Source organism: Homo sapiens, chromosome 6, assembly GCF_000001405.40.
Source record: "Homo sapiens chromosome 6, GRCh38.p14 Primary Assembly".
Classification (NCBI taxonomy): domain Eukaryota; kingdom Metazoa; phylum Chordata; class Mammalia; order Primates; family Hominidae; genus Homo; species Homo sapiens.
Window position 1 is genome coordinate 148,773,675 of NC_000006.12, and position 23,092 is coordinate 148,796,766.

Sequence of the window (23,092 nt, forward strand, 5' to 3'; positions counted from 1 at the left end):
TAGGGCATCCATACTTTTGTTTTACACTGAACAAAAGGACAGTGTGAGGGACAGATGTCAGAGTGAAGGTGTGAATTTGCACCAAATGCCAGGTTTAGGGCTCAGAATAGCATTTTTTTGTACGTGGGGCGCCATGAACGCAAAGACTTCCAGCGGGATGGGCGTTGAGCAGGGATTGTCTAAGAGGAATCAAATTGCCAAATGTCTGCTGCCAGATTATTCTTCCCTAAAATTGATCTCCCTGAGAACTTGTCTTGCGGCCCAATTCCCACCAGCTTCCCTCTGTCCTCCCCGACTTTATAAAGAAGCTTATCTGACTCTATGCTGGTGTCAAACACCTCCAGGTACCAAAGGAAGAATTCAAAATCCTGGCATGGAGAAAGTGAATGACTAGTGACTACAGCAAACCCTTTTGCAGGTCACGTGGCTCCTATTCTTGGCTTTCAACCAAAGTGAAGGAGGATCTAATCTAGTTATCCCCTCAGGTAGATCACCAACAGATCACTATGGGATTTAGAAAGATGTTAAAGAAGCGTGTGACACGGCTATAACTAAACACTCTCCATTCCTGTCTGTTAAAGCGAACAAGGTTATTTTATATATATATATATATATAAAAATATAATGAATAAATAGGAATAAAATTGAAATCAGTGAAATTTACTTATAGACAAGGCCCTATTCACTGTATTTATGATCAAATTCCACTTTTGATTTTAATTATTTGTGAAATGTGTAAAATCTTTATATTGTTTTGATCAACTGTGAAACAAAGGTAATCTTAATAATAACTCAAATTCAGGATATATAGTTTAAACTTTTAAAGCATTATGGTCACAAGAATATTTTTTAAATGAATTTTACTTTACCTACATAGTTTTGTCATGTAGAAATAGAACAGAGAGATCAATACAGTAATTTCAAGCGTGAAGTATAATCTGTTAGAACAAAAATCTGTGGGGGGAATGGAATGAAAATACAAGCTGAAAAATTTGTTACTCAGACTTTCTTTTCAGCATTTTTTAGAGGATTTGTGAATTTCAGAGAAAAATGAGTGCATGAGGTCAGGTGCGGTGGCTCACGCCTGTAATCCTAGCACTTCGGGAGGCCAAGGTGGGCGGATCACCTGAGGTCAGGAGTTCGAAACCAGCCTGACCAACATGGTGAAACCCCGTCTTTACTAAAAATACAAAATTAGCCAGGCATGGTGGCAGGCGCCTGTAATCCCAGCTACTGGGGAGGCTGGGGCAGGAGAATCACTTGAACCTGGGATGCGGGGGTTGCAGTCAGCCGAGATTACGCCACTACACTCCAGCCTGGAGTCTGACAGAGTGAGACTTCATCTCAAAGAAAAAAAAAAGAGTGCATGAAAGAAAAGCTTGTTAATTCCTCCTTGACTTCATAATGATCTCACCTCTAACAAGGGTTTCCCAATATTGAGAATATCTTAAACATACATATGCTATCCTCTCCGTCCCTCCTAGGCCCGCCCTCTACCTGAGGTAACTAGTATTCTTGGTCTTGTATTTATTGTTCTCTGCCAAGTTTTGCAGGGCTTGAATATTATGTGAATTTGACAGCTTCCTTTAGGACAAAGAATAAAACATTGTCAGTTAAAAAAAAATGCCCACTCCAGTGCAGTGTCGCCCAGCGTGAGAGGTTGTGTGGAGAAGGGGAAGTTAGGATGGAGCGAGGTGGTGGTCTTTACCAATGGCAGTTTCCTTTTGCAGATTTTGCAAAAAAAACGTGAGCATGTGCGTTTATTGTTAGAGCCACCCCTCAGACTTGGAAAGGAGCTCATAAAAGTAAGGGCTCCTGAAATTTAAACTTCAGCAGTCACTGTGAAACTACCTCTGTGTATGTGTATGTGTGTGCATGTGGGTGTGCATACACACATACATCCCTGAAAACTGTGTTGGTTTTAGTTGATTGTAACTCTTTTTTTAATTAAATTTTTTTTTTTTTGGGGCGGGGAGAGAGTCTCACTCTATCCCCCAGGCTGGAGTGCAGTGGCACGATCTTGGCTCACTGCAACCTCTGCTTCCTGGATTCAAGCAATTCTCCTGCCTCAGCCTCCCGAGTAGCTGGGATCACAGGCACACGCCTCCATGCCCAGCTAATTTTTTTTGAAATTTTTAGTAGAGATGGGGTTTCACCATGTTGGTCAGGCTGATCTCGAACTCCTGACCTCAGGAAATCTGCCCGCCTCAGCCTCCCAAAGTGCTGGGATTACGGGTGTGAGCCACTGCGCCCGGCCTGGTAAAATATGAATTTTATACCTTGTTCTAGGAGAACAGGACGTATATATTTGATTGTTATTGCTATTGTTTTATAACTTGGAGGAATTATGAGCTGAAATTTTATTACTTACACTTTATTTTCTGCATTTTTTAAAGGACATGTGAATTCCAGAGAATTGTCCTTATTTATTTTGGCTGAATTAATAGGGCAAATTTGCCTCCTCTGAAGGAAAAAAAATAGACAAGAAAGATCTCTTTAAATACCAGCCTGGTGTTGTTCTGTGTTAGAGAAATTCTGGCTTTTGCTTCAGACCTCCAGTCCTGGTTTCCAGAAGAGGAGCACTTTCTGGTTCTCATTCAGGCCCTTAGTGGATCTTCTTCCAAGATTTTTAAAAATATGACCATTAGCTTACATTTTCCTATGTGTTCAATCCTCTTCTCAGCAGAAGTGTTTGCGGTGGATTTTTGAGGGTGGGAGTGTGGTCAATGACGCAACTGAGCCTTTCAGGGACTTGGAAATAAAGCTGTTTTATTGTGATGACCAGTTTTGTGCAGAATCATCTCATTCTTTTCTGCACGTGGTGAGTTTTGAAGTGAAACTTAAAGTTTAATGAGATACAGCAGCTGGAGTTGGGCATTTTGAAAAGAGGTAAAGAGAGATAATTGTAGTAAAACATACTGTAAGGCCTTACTTATCTGGAATAGCATGGAATGAAGAGCTCCAGATAATGGTGTTTTCTAGAAAGTGAAAGTTTAGAGCTTTAACCATCATACCCTCCCCTTTTTTCTTTAACCATTTGTTGGAAATCTCTTTAAAACATATTACACATGGTTTTCTTCTCCAGTGGAACTATTAGTCATCGTTTGAATCTCGTAAGACATTGTTTCTGGAATCTGGCTGTGATACAGTCATCTCCTCTGGATCCGTCATGATGGGTGGGACCCGCTGTCCTGCCCTTACCTGGCCTTGGTCTGTCCTGCTGGGTGCACTCTTGGGTCTGTTGTAGGTTTGCATCTCCTGTGTGGTCCCTTGGCCTTGTCCCTGCTCTCAAGTGGCTGGTCGTAGCAGCTCTCCATCCCACTAACCTGCTGATTCTAACAGGCAGTAAATTCAGGGAGCAAATACAGAACGTGTTGGAATTTGTAAAACAGCAGGAATGGCCCTCACTGGAGCTCCAAGTGCTTGCTGGATGTTTCCTCTCCTGGAGACAGGAGCCGTTTTTTCCTGGTGTGCCGGCTCACTTACCGCACTTAAAACCGACTGCTCTTAATGAATAAGGGAACAGCGTGCCTCATCTTTATCTCTTTACCTCTTTTAGACGTTAGGCCATTAGCTCTTATTTTCAGTTGTGTTCTACATAAGCAAGCCTGATGGATGACTCTGAATAAGTAAATAAGATTTAATTGAATTATGCAATTTTCAGTTTCTCTCAGATAATACCAAATCAAACAAAGGTGAAGCCAAACACACATAAAAGATTCGTTTTGCTAAAGCACAGTGTGAATATTTTAATTGACTTTTATTGTATAGTCATGTGCCACATAATGATGCTTTGGTAAAGGATAGATGCTTATTCTGATGGTGGTCTCATAAGATTATAATACTCTATTTTTACTGTACCTTTCCATGTTAATTTTTTTGTTTTTTGAGACGGAGTCTCGCTCTGTCACCCAGGCTGGAGTGCAATGACACAATCTCAGCTCACTGCAACCTACGCATCCCGGGTTCCAGTGACTCTCCTGCCTCAGCCTCCCGAGTAGCTGGGATTATGGGCACCTGCCACCACACCCAGCTACTTTTTGTACCTTTTAAATAGAGATGGGGTTTCACCATGTTGTCCAGGCTGGTCTCGAACTCCTGACCTTAGGTGATCTACCTGCCTCGGCCTCCGTAATCCCAAAGTGTTGGGATTACAGGCATGAGCCACCACACCTGGCCTAGGTATATTTAGATACACAAGTACATACTATTCTGTTACAGTTGCCTGCAATATATTCTGTACAGTCACATGCTGTCCAGGTCTGTAGCCTAGGAGCAATAGGCTATACCATCTAGCCTAGGTGTAGAGTAGGCTGTACCATCTAGGTTTATGCAGGTTCACGCTTTGGTGTTTGTACAATGATGAAATGCCCTAACAATGCATTTCTCAGAATGTGTCCCCATTCTTAAGCAATGCATAGTGGTAGTTACATATCAACAAAATTGAAAAGTAAAAAATAAAAATAATACAATAATTGTAATGATAAACTGAAATTTTAACCTTCACCTTAGCTATAAGAATAGAGGTATAGCCTCCTTTCCCATAAGGATTTCCTGGAGTACAGAGCCCTAGTTCCAAATTTTTTTCCAAGGCCACTCAGAAAGGGTTGTTAAGCTTCTTTGTTTTCTGTTTTAAACAAGAATTTCAGAAGCAAGATGTGGAGATTTTGCCTATTAGAGATTTTTTTCTTGGTCTTATTTTCTTTTATATCAAGTGATTTGACTAAAGGACTGAAAGTCCTGAGTGAGGATCCAGGGCCCAGGCAGACATACTAGGGCCTTGTGGGTGACAGAAAAAGGCACTCCTTGGGACTAATTCTACAACGGTGCCCTTCCTGAGGCGAACACTGGCACCATGGCTTGTGAATGGAGCATGGCCTCCCTTTCAGCCCCTGACCCCTCCTCCCAGGCCACGTCAGGCAGGGCACTCTGGTGTGGGGTGCAGTCCTGTGACAATCCCTGCATCAGTGTGGGGCCTGGCAGGAACATGGTTGGAGGCTCACAGATCTGAGTCCTAAGGCTCGCAGGGTCTGTCCAGGGCACCTGTAAGTAAGCCATCATCACTGACATTGTGTTGATTTAAGAATTGAAACTCCAGGCCTGGGGCAACTTGCCGAGGGTTATAAAGCCATTACATGGTAGGGAGTGGGGTCTTGAGCCAGAGCTCTGGTCATCTCTGATGACGACCAAGGCCCACCCCCCTCCATCCCATCCGGAATCCAGATTGCATTGGTTGAGCGTATCACCCCTCTCTTCCCTCTGTTTTCCATCCTCATGGTGGTCACAGCAGCTCAGCCCATTGCCCTCTTCTGCAAGGCCGAGCCCACCCTCCTGGGCTGCAGCCATAGCTGTGGCTGTCCTTACCCGCTGTGGATGCCGCTGTGGGACTTCTCTCTTTTTCTCTCCACAAAGAACCAAAGAATGTTCTTTGTGGCACATTTTTTTTTTTTTTTCAACCAGAAAGTACTACCTCAAGCCTCCTGGAAAATTCCTTATTATTTCAGAAACATCACTGTACTTCTTCCGTTGACTCAGCACTTCTGTCTCCTTTTCAAGTGTGGATTTCAGACCCTTGTCATTCTATGGAGCAAATGAAATACAGTCTTGAGGAGAAGCATTACGTAACATTAAATTTCATCACAGCTCTTTTTAAGAATACTTTGAGAATTTCAGAGTGTTTTCAAGGGAATCTCTTTGACGTTAGTTCCTCCTCTTGGTTCCTCACCAGATAAAGGAAATCTCCAACTCTGGGGAAGACATGTGAGGGAAGTCTGGGAGAATGTCGTGCATTGACACCCATGAACTTGCTGACATCTGGAGGAATGAGCAGGGCTGAGAGAATTCCGGTCCTGGTCCTGCCTCTGTTGCTCCCACCACGCCAGGGAAATAATAATTCCCACTCAGCCCGCTCCACGGGATGTCGTAAGGACAAAATGAGATGTGATATATGTGGAAACACTTGGAAAATTCAGACGTTAAAGTGACTCTAGAAATGTAGGTGTCATCATGGCTGGAAATATTAGTATAGCTTTGAGAGAAAAGGACATTTTTGGTCAAATAAGTTTACAGAATAGTGAATTATTCTCTCCTTGTGGGCTCTCAACACGTCTTAACATTTTAAAGCCTCCCCTAAGTCCTGCAGGAAAGAAATCCTTTTCGATTCTGTTTAACTTAGTGTTTCTCAGTGTTTTTTCCCCCTCCTGTTAGCTGCCTCTGTGAACTGCTGTGAGTGGAGTTCTTGGAGGGCTTGTGAACTCAGCAGAAAGACTTTGTGATATTTATTTTGGCTGCTTATTTACTCAGGTTTATTCCAGATACAGGAGGTCTCCAGACACTGAGTTATAGATCAGTGAGGTATTATTGTATTTTATTATAGACACATACATATACAAATACATGTGTGTGTATATATATACACACACACACACACAAATACATGTGTGTGTATATATATACACACACACACACACACTTATGCAGGAATACCTTGTTTTATTGTGGTTCACTGTATTGTACTTCACAGATAATGCATTTTAAAATAGTAAATGGAAGATTCGTGGCAAACTGTTGTTGAGCAAGTTTATCAGCACCACTTCTCATTTTTCTTTTTTTAAAACTTTTATTTTAGGTCCAGAGGTACATGTGCAGGTTTGTTATATAGGTAAACGCGTGTCATGGGAGTTTGTTGTACAGATTATTTCATCACCCAGGTACTAAGCCCAGTACCCTATAGTTATTTTTTCTGTTTCTCTCCCTCCTCCCACTCCCCACCCTCCAGTGGAGGCCCTGGTGTCTGCTGTTCCCCTCTTTGTGTCCATGTGTTCTCATCAATTAGCTCCCACTTATAAGCGAGAACATGTGGTATTTGGTTTTCTGTTCCTATGTTAGTTTGCTAAGGATAATGGCCTCCAGCTCCATCCACATTCCTGCAAGAACTTGATCTCATTCTTTTTTACAGCTGCATAGTATTCCATGGTATATATGTACCACATTTTCTTTATCCAGTCTGCCATTGATGGGCATTTAGGTTCATTCTATGTCTTTGCTATTGTGAATAGTCAGCACCATTTTTTCTGATAACATATGCTTACTTAGTGCCTCTGTATCATATTTTGGTAATTCTTGCAATATTTTCAACTTTTTCATTATTATTATATCTGTTATGGGGATCTGTGATGAATGATCTTTGGTGTTACTATTGTAATTGTTTGGGGGAGCCACAAACTGCACCCATATAAGAAGGCAAATTTATTCAATAAATATGTGTGTTCTGACTGCTCCACCTACCTGTGGTTCCCTGTCTCTCTTCCTCTCCTTGGACCTCCCTATTCCCTGAGACACAACAATATTGAAATTAGGTCAGTTAATAACCCCACAATGGCCTCTAAGTGTTGAAGTGAAAGGAAAAGTTGCACATTTCTCACCTTAAATAGAAAGCTAGAAATGATTAAGCTTAGTGAGGAAGGCATGTTGAAAGCTGAAATAGACCGAAAGCTGAGATAAACTGAAGGCTGGGTCTCTAGCGACAGTTAACCAAGTTTTGAAAGCAAAAGAAATGTTGTTGAAGGGAATGAGAAGTGCTATTCCGGTGAACACGTGAATGGTAAGAAAGCTAAGGAGCCTCATTACTGATACCGAGAAAGTTTGAGTGGTCCGGATAGAAGGTCAAACCAGCCACAACATTGCGTTAAGCCAAAGCCTGATCCTGAGCAAGGTCCTAACTCTCTTCAGTTCTATGAAGGCTGAGAGAGGTGAGGAAGCTGCAGAAGAAAAGTTGGAAGCTACCAGAGGTTGGTTCATGAAGTTTAATGAAAGAAGCTGTTTCTGGAACATAAAAGTGCAAGGTGAAGCAGTGAGTGCTGATGTAGAAGCTGCAACAGGTCATCTAGGAGATCTAGCTAGGATCATTGTTGAAGGCAGCTACACTAAACAACAGATTTTCAATGTAGACATAACAGCTTTCTATAGGAAGAAGATGCCATCTAGGACTCTAGTTACAGAGGAGAACCCGGTACCTGGCTTTGAATCTTCAAATGACAGGCTGATTTTCCTGTTAGGGGCTTATGTAGCTGGTATCTTAAAGTTGAACCCAGTGTTTATTTACCGTTCTGAAAATTGTAGGGCCCTTAAGAATTTGCCAAATCTACTCTGCCTGTGACAGCATATCTGTTTATAGCATGGTTTACTGACTATTTTAAGCCCATTGTTGGGCTTTAAAAAAATAGTGCTCAGAAAAACAGATTCCTTTCAAAGGTCACTGCTCATTGACAATGTACCTAGTCACTCAAGGTCTCTGATGGAGATGTACAAGGAGATTAATGTTGTTTTAATGCTTGCTAGCACAACATCCATTCTGCAGCCCATGGATCAAGGACTAATTTTGACTTTCATATCCTTTTATTTAAGAAATACATTTCTTTTTTTTTGAAACTCAGCTCTGTCACCCAGGCTGGAGTTTTTATAAGGATATAGCTGCCATGGATAGTGATTCCTCTGATGGATCTGGGCAAAGTACATTGAAAATCCTCTGGTAAGAATTCACCATTCTGGATTCCATTAAGAACATTTGTCATTCATGGAAGAAGGTCAGAATATCAGTATTCACAGGAGTTTGGAAGAAGTTGGGATGACATCGAGGGGGTCAAGACTTGAGTGGAGAAGTAACTGCAGATGTGGTGGAAATAGCGAGAGAACTAAAATTAGAAGTGGAACCTGAAAATGGGACTAAATTGCTGCTATCTCATGATCAAACTTGAACAGATGAACAGATGAGGAGTTGCTTCTTTTTTTTTTTGAGACAGAGTCTCGCTCTGTCACCCAGGCTGGAGTGCAGTGGCGCGATCTTGGCTCACTGCAACCTCCACCTCCTGGGTTCAAGAGATTCTCCTGTCTCAGCCTCCCGAGAAGCTGGGATTACAGGCGCCTGCCACCATGCCCGGCTAATTTTTGTATTTTTAGTAGAGACAGGGTTTCACCATGTTGGTCAGGCTGGTCTCTCGAACTCCTGATCTCGGGTGATCCACCTGCCTCGGCCTCCCAAAGTGCTGGGATTACAGACATGAGCCACAGTGCCCGGCCAAGTTGTTTCTTATGGATAAGCCAAAAAAGCGGCTTCTTGAGATGGAATCTACTCCTGGCGAAGACGCGGTGAACATTGTTGAAATGACAACAAAGGATTTTGAATATTTCATAAACTTAGTGGATAAAGCAGCTGCAGAGCTTGAGAGGATTGGCTCTAGTTTTGAAAGAAGTTCTACTCTGTGTAAAATGCTATCAAACCACATCATATGCTATGGAGATCTTTCGTGAAAAGAAGAGTACATCAATGTGGCAAACTTCGTTGTTGTCTTATTTTAAGAAAGTGCCATAGCCACCGCAAGCTTTAGCAACCATCACCCTGATCCATTAGCAGTCACCAACATCGAGACAAGACCCTCCTCCAGCAAAAAGATTATGACTCACTGAAGGCTCAGATGATTGTAAGCATTTTTAGCAATTAAGCATTTACAATTTTTATATTAAGGTATATACATTATTTTTAGATATAAGTGTATTATTGCACACTTAATAGACTATAGTGTAACATAAACATAACTTTTATATGCCTTGGATAACTAAAAAACTCACTATATTGTCATATTTGCTTTATTCTGGTGGTCTGGAACTGAACCTCCAATATCTCTGGCACACATATACACAAATAACATTTCTGTAATCTGATAGTTTTGCCAGATAAGTCATATTCTCATTGACTAACAGAGCTCAAGTTTTAATCAACCCAGCAAAAAGCATTTCTCTCCTGGAGTTTTTCCCATGTACACCTTTCCCCTGAAGAAGCAGACGTATCATTATTTTAAATAATTCTTCCTTCTTAGGAAAAATTATAGGCATATTTTCTTCTCACAGCTACCAAATGTCCTTGATATCTGTGCATGCACATTTATATGTAAAATCAGAGCTTCTTGTGGTTTTAGAATTGGAAGAGGCCTTAGAGATGAACTTGTCTGGTGATTCTCAACCCCTAAGCATGTTCTTAACGTGAACACTTGGGAGTGGAAGCCTGGGGAACCTGAAATAACTACACATTTCCTGCTAACCTTCTAATTCCTAGTCTGCCATCCTTGCAGTAGTAAGGTTCCCCTGTGCAGTGGGAATTTTCTGTCCCCAGGGGGTTGGGGACAGAAAAATGTTGCACTATAGATCTCATCCAACCCCGCATTTTACAGGTGAAGATGATGAGCTACAAGATTCAATGATATCTTCAAAGTCACACAACCCGGCCTAGAAATAGGCTGCTGCTGATCAATCCACTGCTTTCTCTGCCTATGAGTTTTCCCCAATGTCAGTGATTTCTGTCCTACCTCTGTAATTTACGGCATATCACGAAACCCCAACCCTCATACGCTTCATCATTTTAAATAAAGACTGACTTTTATATGTGAATAATTTATGAAAGAAACTGTAATCCATATTCGATGTGGAAATGTAACCACATTTCACTCACTATGAAAAAGGTAACACTAAAAATAAATGCTATGAAAAAATATATTAAATTTTAACTAAAGTTCCCCACTTAAGTTTCTGAGCCTGAAGTTTTCTCTCTGCTAAAAAGAGAGATTATCAAGTTATGAAGAGTTTAAACATAACACTAGCCCCAAACGATGACACTCTTTTTATGTAATCGGAATTATTGAATGAAAATTTTGAAGGAAATAACATTCTCTCGACATAAGTCCAGGCAGTATTTACTAACCAACACACCATCTCAAATCCTCTCAAGTTCCACCAGTGAGTGAGCTGTGTACCCATTCACGAGGAACTGTCTCCCAAAAGGGAAGCTATATCAGGCAAATCATACCTCTGTCTGTATCTAAGCTGGCTGGAAGGTATTAGATTTGGTGGCAATCAGAGTATTAATTGGAAAGAACAAGTGGAAAATTGTACATATATTGGCTGTTTATCTTGTGTATGTGTCCACAGACACCCTTAGAAAAACTGAAAGCACAGTGCCTGCGATATGATAAAAGCTCAGTAAATATTTGTTGAATGAATTGATGAATACCTGGTGAATGGCAAGCATTCTGCCTCAAGTCAGGTAGAAACAATAGACTGGTAAAAGCAAGTTGCTGCATTTTGTTTCAAGGCACTTTGAAATGTCTTATCAGTGGACATGAAGTATAGAAGACTTAGCAGACTCAGGAAGAGCAGAGCATGGCCATGGAATATTTAACAGATAATGAAGAGCATATATGTGGCCGGGCGCAGTGGCTCGTGCCTGTAATCCCAGCACTTTGGGAGGCTGAGGCAGCCGGATTGCCTGAGCTCAGGAGTTGCAACCAGTCTGGGCAACACAGTGAAACCCTGTCTCGACTGAAATACACGCCGGCTTGGCGGCGTGTGCCTGTAGTCCCAGCTACTAGGGAGGTTGAGGCAGGAGAATTTCTTGAGTCCGGGAGACAGAGGTTGCAGTGAGCCGAGACTGAGCCACTGCACTGCAGCCTGGGCGACAGAGCAAGACTCCATCTTAAAAAAAAAAAAAAAAGCATACATGCATTTAGGCATTAAGATGCTATAGACCATTATCTTTTATAGTCTGTGTCACACTTCATGTTATGTATCAAGAGGAGAAAAGCATCTCAGCCCAAGATTTGATTCCTGATTTTACTACTCAATAGCTAGATGATTTGGGGACAACTGCATAATATCTTTGAGACTACTTAGATATACAAATGAGGACTATGATAATGCCTACCTCAAAGGTTGTTGTGAGGGTTAAATGAGGCAATGCAAATGAAAATTGCTTTATAAAGACTAAAGTGCTATATTAATTTGCCTTTATTGAAATTACATACTATTAAAATGACCAGCGAACTACCATTTGTGCAGAGTGGTTGAAGAATATGGCATGCTGATTATTTGAACATTCTGGATAATAGAAGTATAGTACATGTCTTTCTGGTTAAAAAGAATTACAATAAAGTATTCTTAACATCAAAGCTTACTAACACAACTAATCGTTTGGATGAGATTTCAAGATATTTCTATATATTTTGTGGGCAGCACTTGAACACTTGAATAGTATAAGATGTTGAGGAAAAAAATGCTTAGGAAAAGAATACACTCTAACTGATACCCCAAACCATGTATGTTAAAAAAGTAGTTCCTTAAAATATACATTTACTCATTATTGATCCCTTGCTTATAAAAAATGTATGAATTGAGGAACCATCATTGGATATACAGAAGTAGAATTATAGAATTTGTTTTTATGGGTATTTTGAGGGGTAGAAAACAAGAATTATTTTATTTTGCCCTGTTCAGACAAAAATATCATGTTAGCTTTTTAAATAGTATATAGTGCAATTGGAACTCAATCTTAAGACATTTTTGCTTAATGAAAATGCTACCATGACAGATCTTTTTTTTTTTTCCTAACAGGATGTATATGATTCTCTTTTCATTAAATTTGCCTCAAAGAGTTTCAACTCTCAATTTTTAGACTAACTTTACTTTAGATAAAAGGGTTTTTATACTATTATTTCTTTTTTTAAATTTCCAGCTTTTATTTTAAGTTCAGGGGTCCGTGTGCAGGATGTGCAGGTTCGTTACACAGGTAAACATGTCCCATGGTGGTTTACTGCACAGATCATCCCATCACCCAGGTATTAATCCCAGCATCCACTAGCTATTCTTCCTAATCCTCTCCCTCTTCCCACCCCCTGCCCTCGAAATGGCCCCAGTGTGTGTTGTTCCTCCCCATATATCGATGTGTTCTCATCATTTAGCTCTCACTTATAAGAGAGAACATGCTGTATTTGGTTTTCTGTTCCTGTGTTAGTTTGCTAAGGATAATGACCTCCAGCTCCATTCATGTCCCTGCAAAGGACATGATCTCATCCCTTTTTATGGATGCATTGTATTCCATGGTATGTTTGTGCCACATTTTCTTTATCAAGTCTATCACTGATGAGCATTTAGGTTGATTCCATGTCTTTGCTATTGTGAATAGTGCTGCAATGAACATATGCGTGCATGTCTGTTTGTAATAGAACTACTTATACTCCTTTGGGTATGTGTCCAGTAATACGATTGCTGGGTCAAATGGTATTTCTGCCTCTAGGTCGTTGAGGAGTCACCACACTGTCTTCCACAACCAACAGTGTAAAAACATTCCTTTTTCTCCACAACTTCACTAGCATCTGTTATTTTTTGACTTTTTAGTAATTGCCATTCTGACTGGTGTGAGATGGTATCTTATTGTGGTTTTGATTTACATTTCTCTAATAATCAATGATGTTGAGCTTTTTTTCATGTTTTTTGGCTGCATGTATGTCTTCTTTTGAAAAGTGTCTGTTCATGTCCTTTGCCTGCTTTTAATGGGGTTGTTTTTTTCTTGTAAATTTAAGTTCCTTATAGATGCTGGATATTAGATCTTTGTGAGATGTATAGATTGCAAAAATTTTCTCCCATTCTGTAGGTAGTTTGTTTACCTATTGATAGTTTCTTTTGCTGTGCAGAAGCTCTTTAGTTTAATTAGATCCCATTTGTCAATTTTTGCTTTTGTTGTCTTCATCATTAAATCTTTGCCCATGCATATGTCCTGAATGACGTTGCCTAGGTTTTATTCTAGGTTTTTTATAGTTTTGGGTTTTACATTTAAGTCTTTAATCCATCTTAAGTTGATTTTTGTATATGGTGTAAGGAAGGGGTCCAGTTTCAATTTTTTGCATATGGCTAGCCAGGTCTCCCTGCACCATTTATTAAATAGGAAATCCTTTCCCCATTGCTTGTTTTTTTCAGGTTTGTCTCAGATCAGATGGTTGCAGGTGTGTGGCCTTATTTCTGGGTTCTCTATTCTGTTCCATAGGTCTATGTGTCTGTTCTTGCACCAGTACCATGCTGTTTTGGTTACTGTAGCCCTGTAGTATAGTTTGAAGTCGGGTAGCATGATGCCTCCAGCTTTGTTCTTTTTGCTTAGGATTGCCTTGGCTATTCAGGCTCTTTTTCGGTTCCATATGAATTTTAAAATAGTTTTTTTCCAATTCTGTGAAGAATGTCAATGGCAGTTTAATGGGAATAGCATTGAATGTATAAATTGCTTTGAGCAGTGTGGTCATTTTCATGATATTGATTCTTCCTATCCATGAACAACCCAAATAGTGACAGTGCTATTAAAAAATTGTAATCAAAGCCACTGATATTACATGACAAATCTTTGTGAGTACTTTCTTCCTGTTAGATCATTTTAAAATAGTTTACATTCTTGAATTTTTAAGTCAGTTTTAAAAAATAGATTGCTTGTATTAGTCTGTTTTCATGCTGCTGATAAAGATGTACCCGAGACTGGGAAGAAAAAGAGGTTTAATGGACTTACAGTTCCACATGGCTAGGGAGGCCTTACAATCATAGGGGAAGGTGAAAGGCTCTTCTTACATTGCAGCGGCAAGAGAGAGAATGAGAGCCAAGCGAAACGGGTTTCTTCTTATCAAACCATCAGATCTTGTGAGACTTATTTACTACCACGAGAACAGTATGAGAGAAACTGCCCCCCAAGATTCAATTGTCTCCCTCTGGGTCCCTCCCACAACACATGGGAATTATGGGAGTATAATTCAAGATGAGATTTGGGTGAGGACACAGCCAAACCATATCATCGTTCAACTAGAAAATATATATATATACACACACACACACTTAGTGAAAGTTATTTTATTAATTAGCCAGGATAAACCTTATTTAAACTATTTAGATATGAGTCACTTTGAGGAAAGGTTATTATATGAAAATATCACTGAAATAATCAGAAATTTCTTTAAAAAATGCTGTTATGCTATAATTCATTTCATAAAGTTCTGCTTACATTCATAAACTTGAGCCGTTTGTACAGATCACTTATTATCCTCATATAATAATTTTCTGACACATCCAATCTGCGTGGCTGTGATAAAAAATGATCCAAAATGTTGACCTATAACGTGTCTTAAGAGCTCTTAAAAAAAAGATAAAATCCTTGAATGATGCCAGGCATCTAGAATAAAATTGTCAAGAGAAACTCAACTAATTTTGAGATCAAATTTTAAGATCAAATCTTACTCCTTTATTACAAATGTTCAGTAACGATCTCATCAACATGATGTCTGTAGCAAATTATTTTTACTTAAGGGCTCAGCTCTGACATTTGAAGTGAATGGTTGTGAGTGCCAGTTTAGTTCAGGAAAATGCTGTGGTTAAGGGCTGGCCCATTTTCACATGGAATAATATTATTCAGGTCTTGTTTTGTGGTATTTATGTTGTAAATAATACATCCAGAGTCCATGTAGCTACCTATGCCTGCCCGTGAATGATACCTACTTAGCGTTGTCTTAGATCCAGTGGCAATAACGTTTAAATGCTGAAGGAAATATCTTTTGGTTTGCTGAGAGTTTTAATTAGGGTTCACTTTGCTGCTAAGACAGCAGCATTTAAGCTACTAGGTTCTTGGCACAATATTGTTTCCATATTTCTTTTTCTTTCCAGAAGGCTTAATTATTTCTTCACCTGAATTTTAACAACCATTTTAGCTGAATGATCTAGAAACTGTCCTCCTCAATGTGTGTTCTGAGTCAGCAGCATCAGCATCACCTGTGAACTGTTAGAAATGCAGAATCTCAGGCCCACCCCAACCCCACTGAATTTCTTAGAAGCTGCATCCAATGGAAGCATCTATATGAACCACACTTTTGAGTAGCAAGGATCTAGAGTTCTTGTGCAGATCTCTCTCTCTCTCTCTCTCTCTCTCTCACACACACACACACACACACACACACACACTTTCAAAAGTATTTTATTTATATAAATGTTTTTGATCATTGAATTAAAAGAAAATAATGCAACATTGAAAATATGTATTTTTTGAGACAGAGTCTCACTCTGTCACCCAGGCTGGAGTGCAGTGATGCCATCTCAGTTCACTGCAGCTTCTACCTCACAGGTTCTAGTGATTCTCCTGTCTCAGCCTCCCGTAATTCAGAATTACGGAGGCTGAATTACAGAGCCTCCTGTAATTCAGCCTCTCCTGGAATTACAGGTGCCCACCACCACACCCAGCTAGTTTTTGTATTTTTAGTAGAGACAGGGTTTTACCATGTTGGCCAGGCTGGTCTCGAACTCCTGACCTCAAAAGATCCACCCGTCTCAGTTTCCCAAATTGCTGGGATTACAAGCATGAGCCACTGTGCCTGGCCAAAAATATTTTCATAATGAAGACTCATAAATAAATATCACACATGTCAGTGAAAACCAAAAGCTTTTTTCTGTCATCAAGATTTCAGGATTCTTTTTTTTTTTTTTTTTTTCCAGCTTTAAGTGCCTATCCTTTTTGTCTGGGAAGGCTGATTTCTTTAGCTCTTTTCTTTCTCTGGGAATAATGCATTCGCATTGCTATCGTAGTTATCCTTGCAGCGGTGTCAGACTTTAGCTGCTTCCTGTAGCTCGTTCCCTGACAGTGTTCATGTAGCGTCTCCTCCTAAGGCGGCAGCCTCGCTGGGTGGATTGAGTGGTTACCTTGGATCCCTTCATGCCCGTGCTAATCTCACTCCGTGCTCTTCTGTGCCTCCAACTGGAATGAAAGCTTCTGGGAGTAGAGACCCCGTTTTGCTGTCTGCTCTCTCCAGCGCCTCATGATGTCAGATGTAGAATAATCCTTCACTATATTTGCTGTTTCTGGAATAGTAGAGACCACAAGGTTCTGAAAAAGAGGCCACTGGTTCAGATGAGGGCAAGGCAGTTGCCCAGGGGTAGATGGCATACCTCCTTGGCGAATCTGATTTTGAAGTCCGTGCCCTGAATCACCTCCACGTCCCACCTTGTGCCTGGTGAATGTCAGCCCTGCACTGTTAAGGTGCTGTAGCGGATGCTGTGATGTGCCACCGTTCAGAGAGGCACTCAGGCTGCCAGCTTCTGAGCATGGCTACCGATGTGTCATGGCTGGGTCCCTCCTTCAGCCTGGAAGGAGTGCTGTGCCCCGTGTGGAAGGAAACCTCCTCGCCCAAGGTTATGCCTCTCCTCTCGGGGCATCCCACATCCAATGCCTGGTTGATGTGGGGATACAAAGGTCTGATCCCCTTGCGTCAATCTGGGACAACTCTGATGGGCCATCCCAGTTCCAGAGCTCCTGTGGGACAGGCTGAGCTCCGTTGCAGCTGCATCGCAGTTTGCCTTCTCTCTCTGCCCGTTCCTGCGTCTCCACTCCTTTGTAGGTTGTATCTGAGTACATGCACATCTCTCCCTCAGGATCTGCGCAACAGTTAAAGGTGCACGCGTTAGTGAAACCTCGCAACACATCAGTGACCAGGGTTACAGTTCGCTGACTACTGAATCTGGACTGGAACCTTTTTCAATTCAGTGCTTTTCTGACTCCACCACTCTGACTCCCTCAAGTGCAGTGGTTCTCAACAGAGGTGACTTTGTTCTCCAGGTGACATTTGGCATTGCCTGGGGACTTGAGATTATTACTGGCATCTAGTGGGTAGAGGCCAGCGTTGTTGCTAAATGTCCTGCAATGCACAGGACAGTTCCCGCAGGAACAATTATCTGGCCCCAAATGTCAGGAGTGCTGAGGTTGAGAAACTCTGCTGAATGTATGGATGAGCATTGGTCACCAAGATAGAGGAGAAGAATTCAATATTGCTCTTCCATTATATTTTCCTAGGATGTGGACTCTATGTTTTAGACAATCTTCCGTATTAAAACTATCATGTGAATAAATGTATTTTTGTTACATATGTTTTCTGGAGTTTACATGTATTGGTGGACAACACATAAGAAGTGCGTAGGGTCAGAGAAATGCCACTCGAGGTCATTATTTCCACTCAATTGCTCACTGGGGAAAAAACAAACATGAGTTCTATTCTGTAATCAGTACTGCTGGCAACAGTACTGATCACTAAGCACTGTGAGAAGCACATTTCAGTACAATACTCTTGTTGTCCTAAGTTCTGTGACCACTTTTCCTAGATTTTCTGTTTTTCTTGGGATGGAAATAATAAATACTTCCTCTTGCCTCCTCTCAGTCTAGAGTAACAATAAGGGGGACATGTAAATCCAGGAATTTCACACCAGGATCCTGGAGGTTAGCTTTCCTGTTTTCTTCTTGCCAGTCTTATGCATTACATGGGAACTCATATCTATCAGCACAAAACTCAGTAAACGATTGTTGAGCGAGTAAGTCAGGACCAACGCGTCAATCACATGATGCAGGATGCTGTATCTAAGCTTGCACACTTACTTTAGGAAACTCAAATGGAAACCCCACTCTCAAATAGTCTAATCTAATTACCTTTGGTTCTGGAAAGCAGCATCCAAGAGGAAAGAGATTGTAAAATCCTCAGAGGAAGCGGGGAAAGTGGGTCTGAGAAGAGGGGACGAGAGCCTAGGAGTCAGCAGGTAGCTCAAAGGATGAGATGGATGTCTCTCTCTGCTTCTTTCCAATCTTATGGAATTTCAGGATATTGGTATTCACTGTTGCTGATGACCTAGAGAATGATACTTCCCATTAATGTGAGTTTGAAAATAGTTTCTATCCTTGAATAAATTATGCTTGGCACCGTGCAGACCAAAATAGATTCAAGTTATGTGAGTTTCATACTTGACCAAAAAGCAAGAGGCTGCGCGTCATTCAGAGCTGACCCCGGGCTGGCAATGAGAGCTCACAGTCTTGCTCTCCTGCTAATACCAAGCCCCTCAGTGCTCAGCAAACCCCAAAGTCGCCTGGGCCTGTGAACTGTGTAAACTATCCTCCCAGACACTTCGGACTGGAGATCAAGACAACTTTGAAAAATCTTCCGAAAGGGAACATGAGGTCCACCTGGCCATAAAGTGCCTTCCCTGTGTCACCTTTTTGCTGTCAGCTTGTGGCTCAAGGATGTTGTCCAAAACTGCTGGAGCTCACGTTTCAGGCAGAGATGTGTGTCTCATGTAGCTGGGCCTTTCAATTTATGGGAAATGTTATAGTTTAACTTTAGCCATTTTCTGGGATCTATTTTAAAACTCCTATATGTGGGGAGAGACAAATTTAATGTTTAACACAACATTGCTTTGACTGTCTTTTGCTGTACTATTCAAAAATTAATGTTACATGAATAGGAACTCAAACACAGCTGATAGGAAAGTAAATTAGCAAAACTTCCTCCTGGGGATAATTTTTTAAATATCCTTTGATCTAAACATTCTTTAGAAAATTTATCTTAAGGAAATAATCATAGATGTGGTTAAATATCTAGCTACAGACATGATTGTTACAGTGTTGATTGCAATAATGATTAATTATAAGCAACCTAAACATCAAGAAAAGCAAGGAGTAATTAAATAATTTATTGTACTGTATGGGTATGGTATGACTTGTGATACAGCAGTTGAGAAAGATGGAGAGGACCACTTAATGACATGAAATGATTTTTAATATTAAGAGAAACAAGATTATAGTGATGGGGAATGATCCCTGTATATTTATTCTAAAAATGTAGCCAGTAGTTATCTCTGGGTGAAGAGATTATGAGCAAGTAATTTTTTTTATGTGTATTTTTAATATATTCTACATTGAATAGGAGTTACTTTTGTAATATGTAAAAAAAAAAGTTACTAAAAATAAGGGTGATGTTTGTGAAACACATAAAGAAACGTACGCAAATCATAAGTGACAGCTTACTGAATTCTCACAAAGTGAGTTCACCTATATAACCCAAACCAAGCTCAAACAGGATAGACCAGGTCCCCAGAAACCCCCCTCCTCACCCTCCACCGCCTCTAACTGCAGAGGGGAGTGCCTGTTTTTTGGAACTTCATATGCAGTCATGTGTTGCTTAACGATGGGAACACATTCTGAGAAATGTTATGTGCTAGACTTTGATATGACTGACAGTGCAGCGGGTTTGTTTCCACCAGCATCACCACCAACAGGTGAGTAATGCAGTGCACTACATCACAATGGCTATGACATTTCTAAGCCATAGGACTTTTTCAGCTCCATTATCATCTTGTGGGCCCATCATTGTATATTTGGCTCATGACTGCAATTGGAATAATATAGTATGTCTCCTTCTGAGTTCGTGGCTGCTTCTGCTCAACATTATATTTGTGAATCATTCATATTGTTTCTTTTGGCTGCAGTTTGTTCAATTTCACTGCTTTACAGAGTTCCATTGTTTGCATATACCACCTTCCATTTTACTGTTGATTGATGGACTTTTGGGTTGTCTCTGGTTTGGCACTATTCTGAATAGTGCTGCTGTGAACATTGTTTTGGTTAACATCAGCGCATATTTCTGTTGGGGAGTACCTAGGAATGGAAATACTGATTTGTATGGTATGTTTCTGTTCAGCTTTCATAGACACTGCCAAACAGTTTTCTGGAGTGGTTGTACCAACACACACTTACACTTCTATATTTTCCAGTGCTGATCACAAGATTTCTCCAAGATACTTTCAACTTTCCTGAATTATTTGATGCTGTCATATTGGGAATAATTTTTATCTCTGTTAGTTGAATATCAAATTGATGTTCTAGAAAACTCTTGAGTCATTACCTACATTTTTTAGGTGAGTGGTGTTTGATGGCTCAAGATGAACCTTCTCTTTCCTCAGAACAGCTTTAAGTTTCTTATACTTCTTGTGATTGAAGAGCAGGTGACCATGTTTTTCTTCTAGTAACTGCATTATTTGAATTTTGAGAGTATCATACTTTTTTATTCCACTGAAGAGAAATTTATTTTTAATGAAGCTGCTTTTTGAGTAAAAAATGCTAGAGTGGTGTGATTAGAAAATACAGAATCCTTTTCTTTCTTTTGTAAGTGTTGTCAGCTTTAGGAGATTTGATGATCTTATAAGACAACCTTTTTTAAAAAGTCAGTGTCCTCCCATTTAGAAATAGTTGATGAACTCCTGGGAGACCAGCAATCCCTACTGCCAGAAAATTTAGTTCCTATGTTGCTTGCTCGATCCCAGAGCCAGACCATTTACCTAGCTCTGGCCAGATAGAAGTGGCTGCTTGTACAGAAAGAACATCGGGTGGAATAACAAACTCAGAACATTGGATGATCCAACAAAAGCTTTGTGTGGAAGGTCTTTCATTTGAGGCCCTTAAATACATGGAATAATTAATGAAGGGTGGAAGTTGGGGAACTTATTCCTTCTGTTTCTACCACACTGCTGTGGGTATCCTTCATCCTTTAAACACTCCTTTTCGTCTCTGAGCATTCACTGGCTAAGAACACAGGTCCACAGCCTCTTTGACGGCTGCGTTGTCTTTTCCACGTTCTAAGGAAAGGCAGTCAGTCAGTCATACTAAAGACTGACTCATGTTGTTTTTAAATATTAAAGGGCTCTGTTGTTGAGGCAGAGCCTAACCAGTCTTCAGTTTCCTGACTTCTGTTTCTGGTCCAGTTGCAAAGAAGCCTTTCTGTAATTTTCTGTAATATGATTTGTACTATGTTTTTCATCATGGAAAATTAAATTTCAAAACTTTACAAAGCTGTAGTAAGAAATATTTGAGAAGTAGGCTTGGGATGGAGGTGTGCACTGAATGAGAAGGGACAGGAGGGTGTCCCCAGCTTGTGATACCAATGTGTGGCTGGAGACAGAGGCTCAGTTGCCTGGTCTTCGATGTGTTCAGGAAGTGCCCTGACGGTGAGAGGCCTGTCCTGGCTGGTTAACTTTAAGGGTGGCCTGGCCTGCTGCTTTGCTCACAAGCACCTGCATCTCATGGCAGATGTGCTTCTGATTTGTGATACAAAGTATCTCCTTGTTTGATTTCTTGGACTTAGTGTGAACATGTTTTCTTAAGGAGTAGGTTTTGGGCAGGGCACATTACTAAGTCTTAAAAAGCTTTTTTTCTCTACTATATATGAAAAAAAGTCCTCTCAACGCCTGCCGTATTTTACCCAGGGACTTTTAAAAAAACCCAACTATACCCTTAGGTAGAATAGCTTCTTCCATTGGGGTTGTGGGATGGGCGTGGGTCTGTAGTCCATGGTTTGTTCTGCTCTAAAATCTTCCATCTTTGCTGAGATGACGTATTTTTGCCTTCTAACAGACCTACAAAACCATGACACAGACTTGATTTGTATACCTGTTATGTCAGGTATGATAAATGTTAATGTAATAATATTGACTCATTTATTTTGCCGATTCATTACGGGCTGGTTAAAGTGATAAACAACCATTAATTTTGTTTTATTTCCAGAGACAATTTATTATAAGCAGAACAAAAGGTTGGCTTTTAACTACACCTGCATATGCTATCCTCAGGAAAATATTTATAGTTTAGTTAATCTTGTTTAGGCCTAAAGTAACTGTGGTTTAATCACTGAACAAACAAGATAGGACAGCGTGGTGGATAATTGAACCAAAATTCCCATTGAGATGCATGGGGGCAGACTGCTCCCATGTGGTTTCACAGCCCAAGAAACTGAAGGGTAGTTTTGAATCCTCATCCTCTCTAGGATGAGGATTGAGATGAGAAGCATGGCACTTTGCCCTTTATTTCAGTATATTTATCCATACACCTACAAGGGACATAAGATTTTGGTCAAACATTTCTTGATAATTGTATATAAGTTGAAGTTTTATATACAGAAATTTTCTTGATAACAGAAACATTTCTTGATAATTGTATATAAGTTGAAGTTTTATAATTCAAATTGTAGGTTCAGAGCTGGAAGGGAATCCCAGCATTTGGGAGGCTGAGGCAGGCAGATCACAAGGTCAGGAGTTCGAGACCAGCCTGGCCAGCATGGCGAAACCCTGTCTCTACTAAAAATACAAAAATTAGATGGACGTGGTGGCACGGGCCTGTAATCCCAGCTACTCAGGAAGCTGAGGCAGGAGAATCATTTGAACCTGGGAGGCGGAGGTTGCAGTGAGCCGAGATTGTGCCATTGCACTCCAGCCTGGACGACAGGGCAAGACTCTGTCTCAAAAAAAAAAAAAAAAAAAAAAAAGAGCTGGAAGGGAGAGAGTGAAGCACACTGAAGTGAAAAACTGATACCCGTTAGGCTTCAAGGTGAAGCCCAGGTACACCTGCTTCCCTAGTACAGGCTCTCTTCATGCCGCAGTGTTG

General features: G+C 40.6%; 1 protein-coding gene across 7 annotated transcripts in view, besides 1 other annotated feature; it reads left to right on the top strand.

Moving 5' to 3' along the window:
- Positions 1–23,092, top strand: part of UST (uronyl 2-sulfotransferase) — a 329,961-nt gene that overhangs the window by 26,645 nt on the left and 280,224 nt on the right. The gene's annotated exons all lie outside the window — the stretch shown is intronic.
- Positions 7,732–7,801: an enhancer, noted in NCBI's record as "active region_25239". NCBI's record gives its function as "activates an Ori minimal core promoter by ATAC-STARR-seq in GM12878 lymphoblastoid cells {active_cell/tissue: GM12878}" and the evidence as "EXISTENCE:reporter gene assay evidence [ECO:0000049][PMID:35858748]".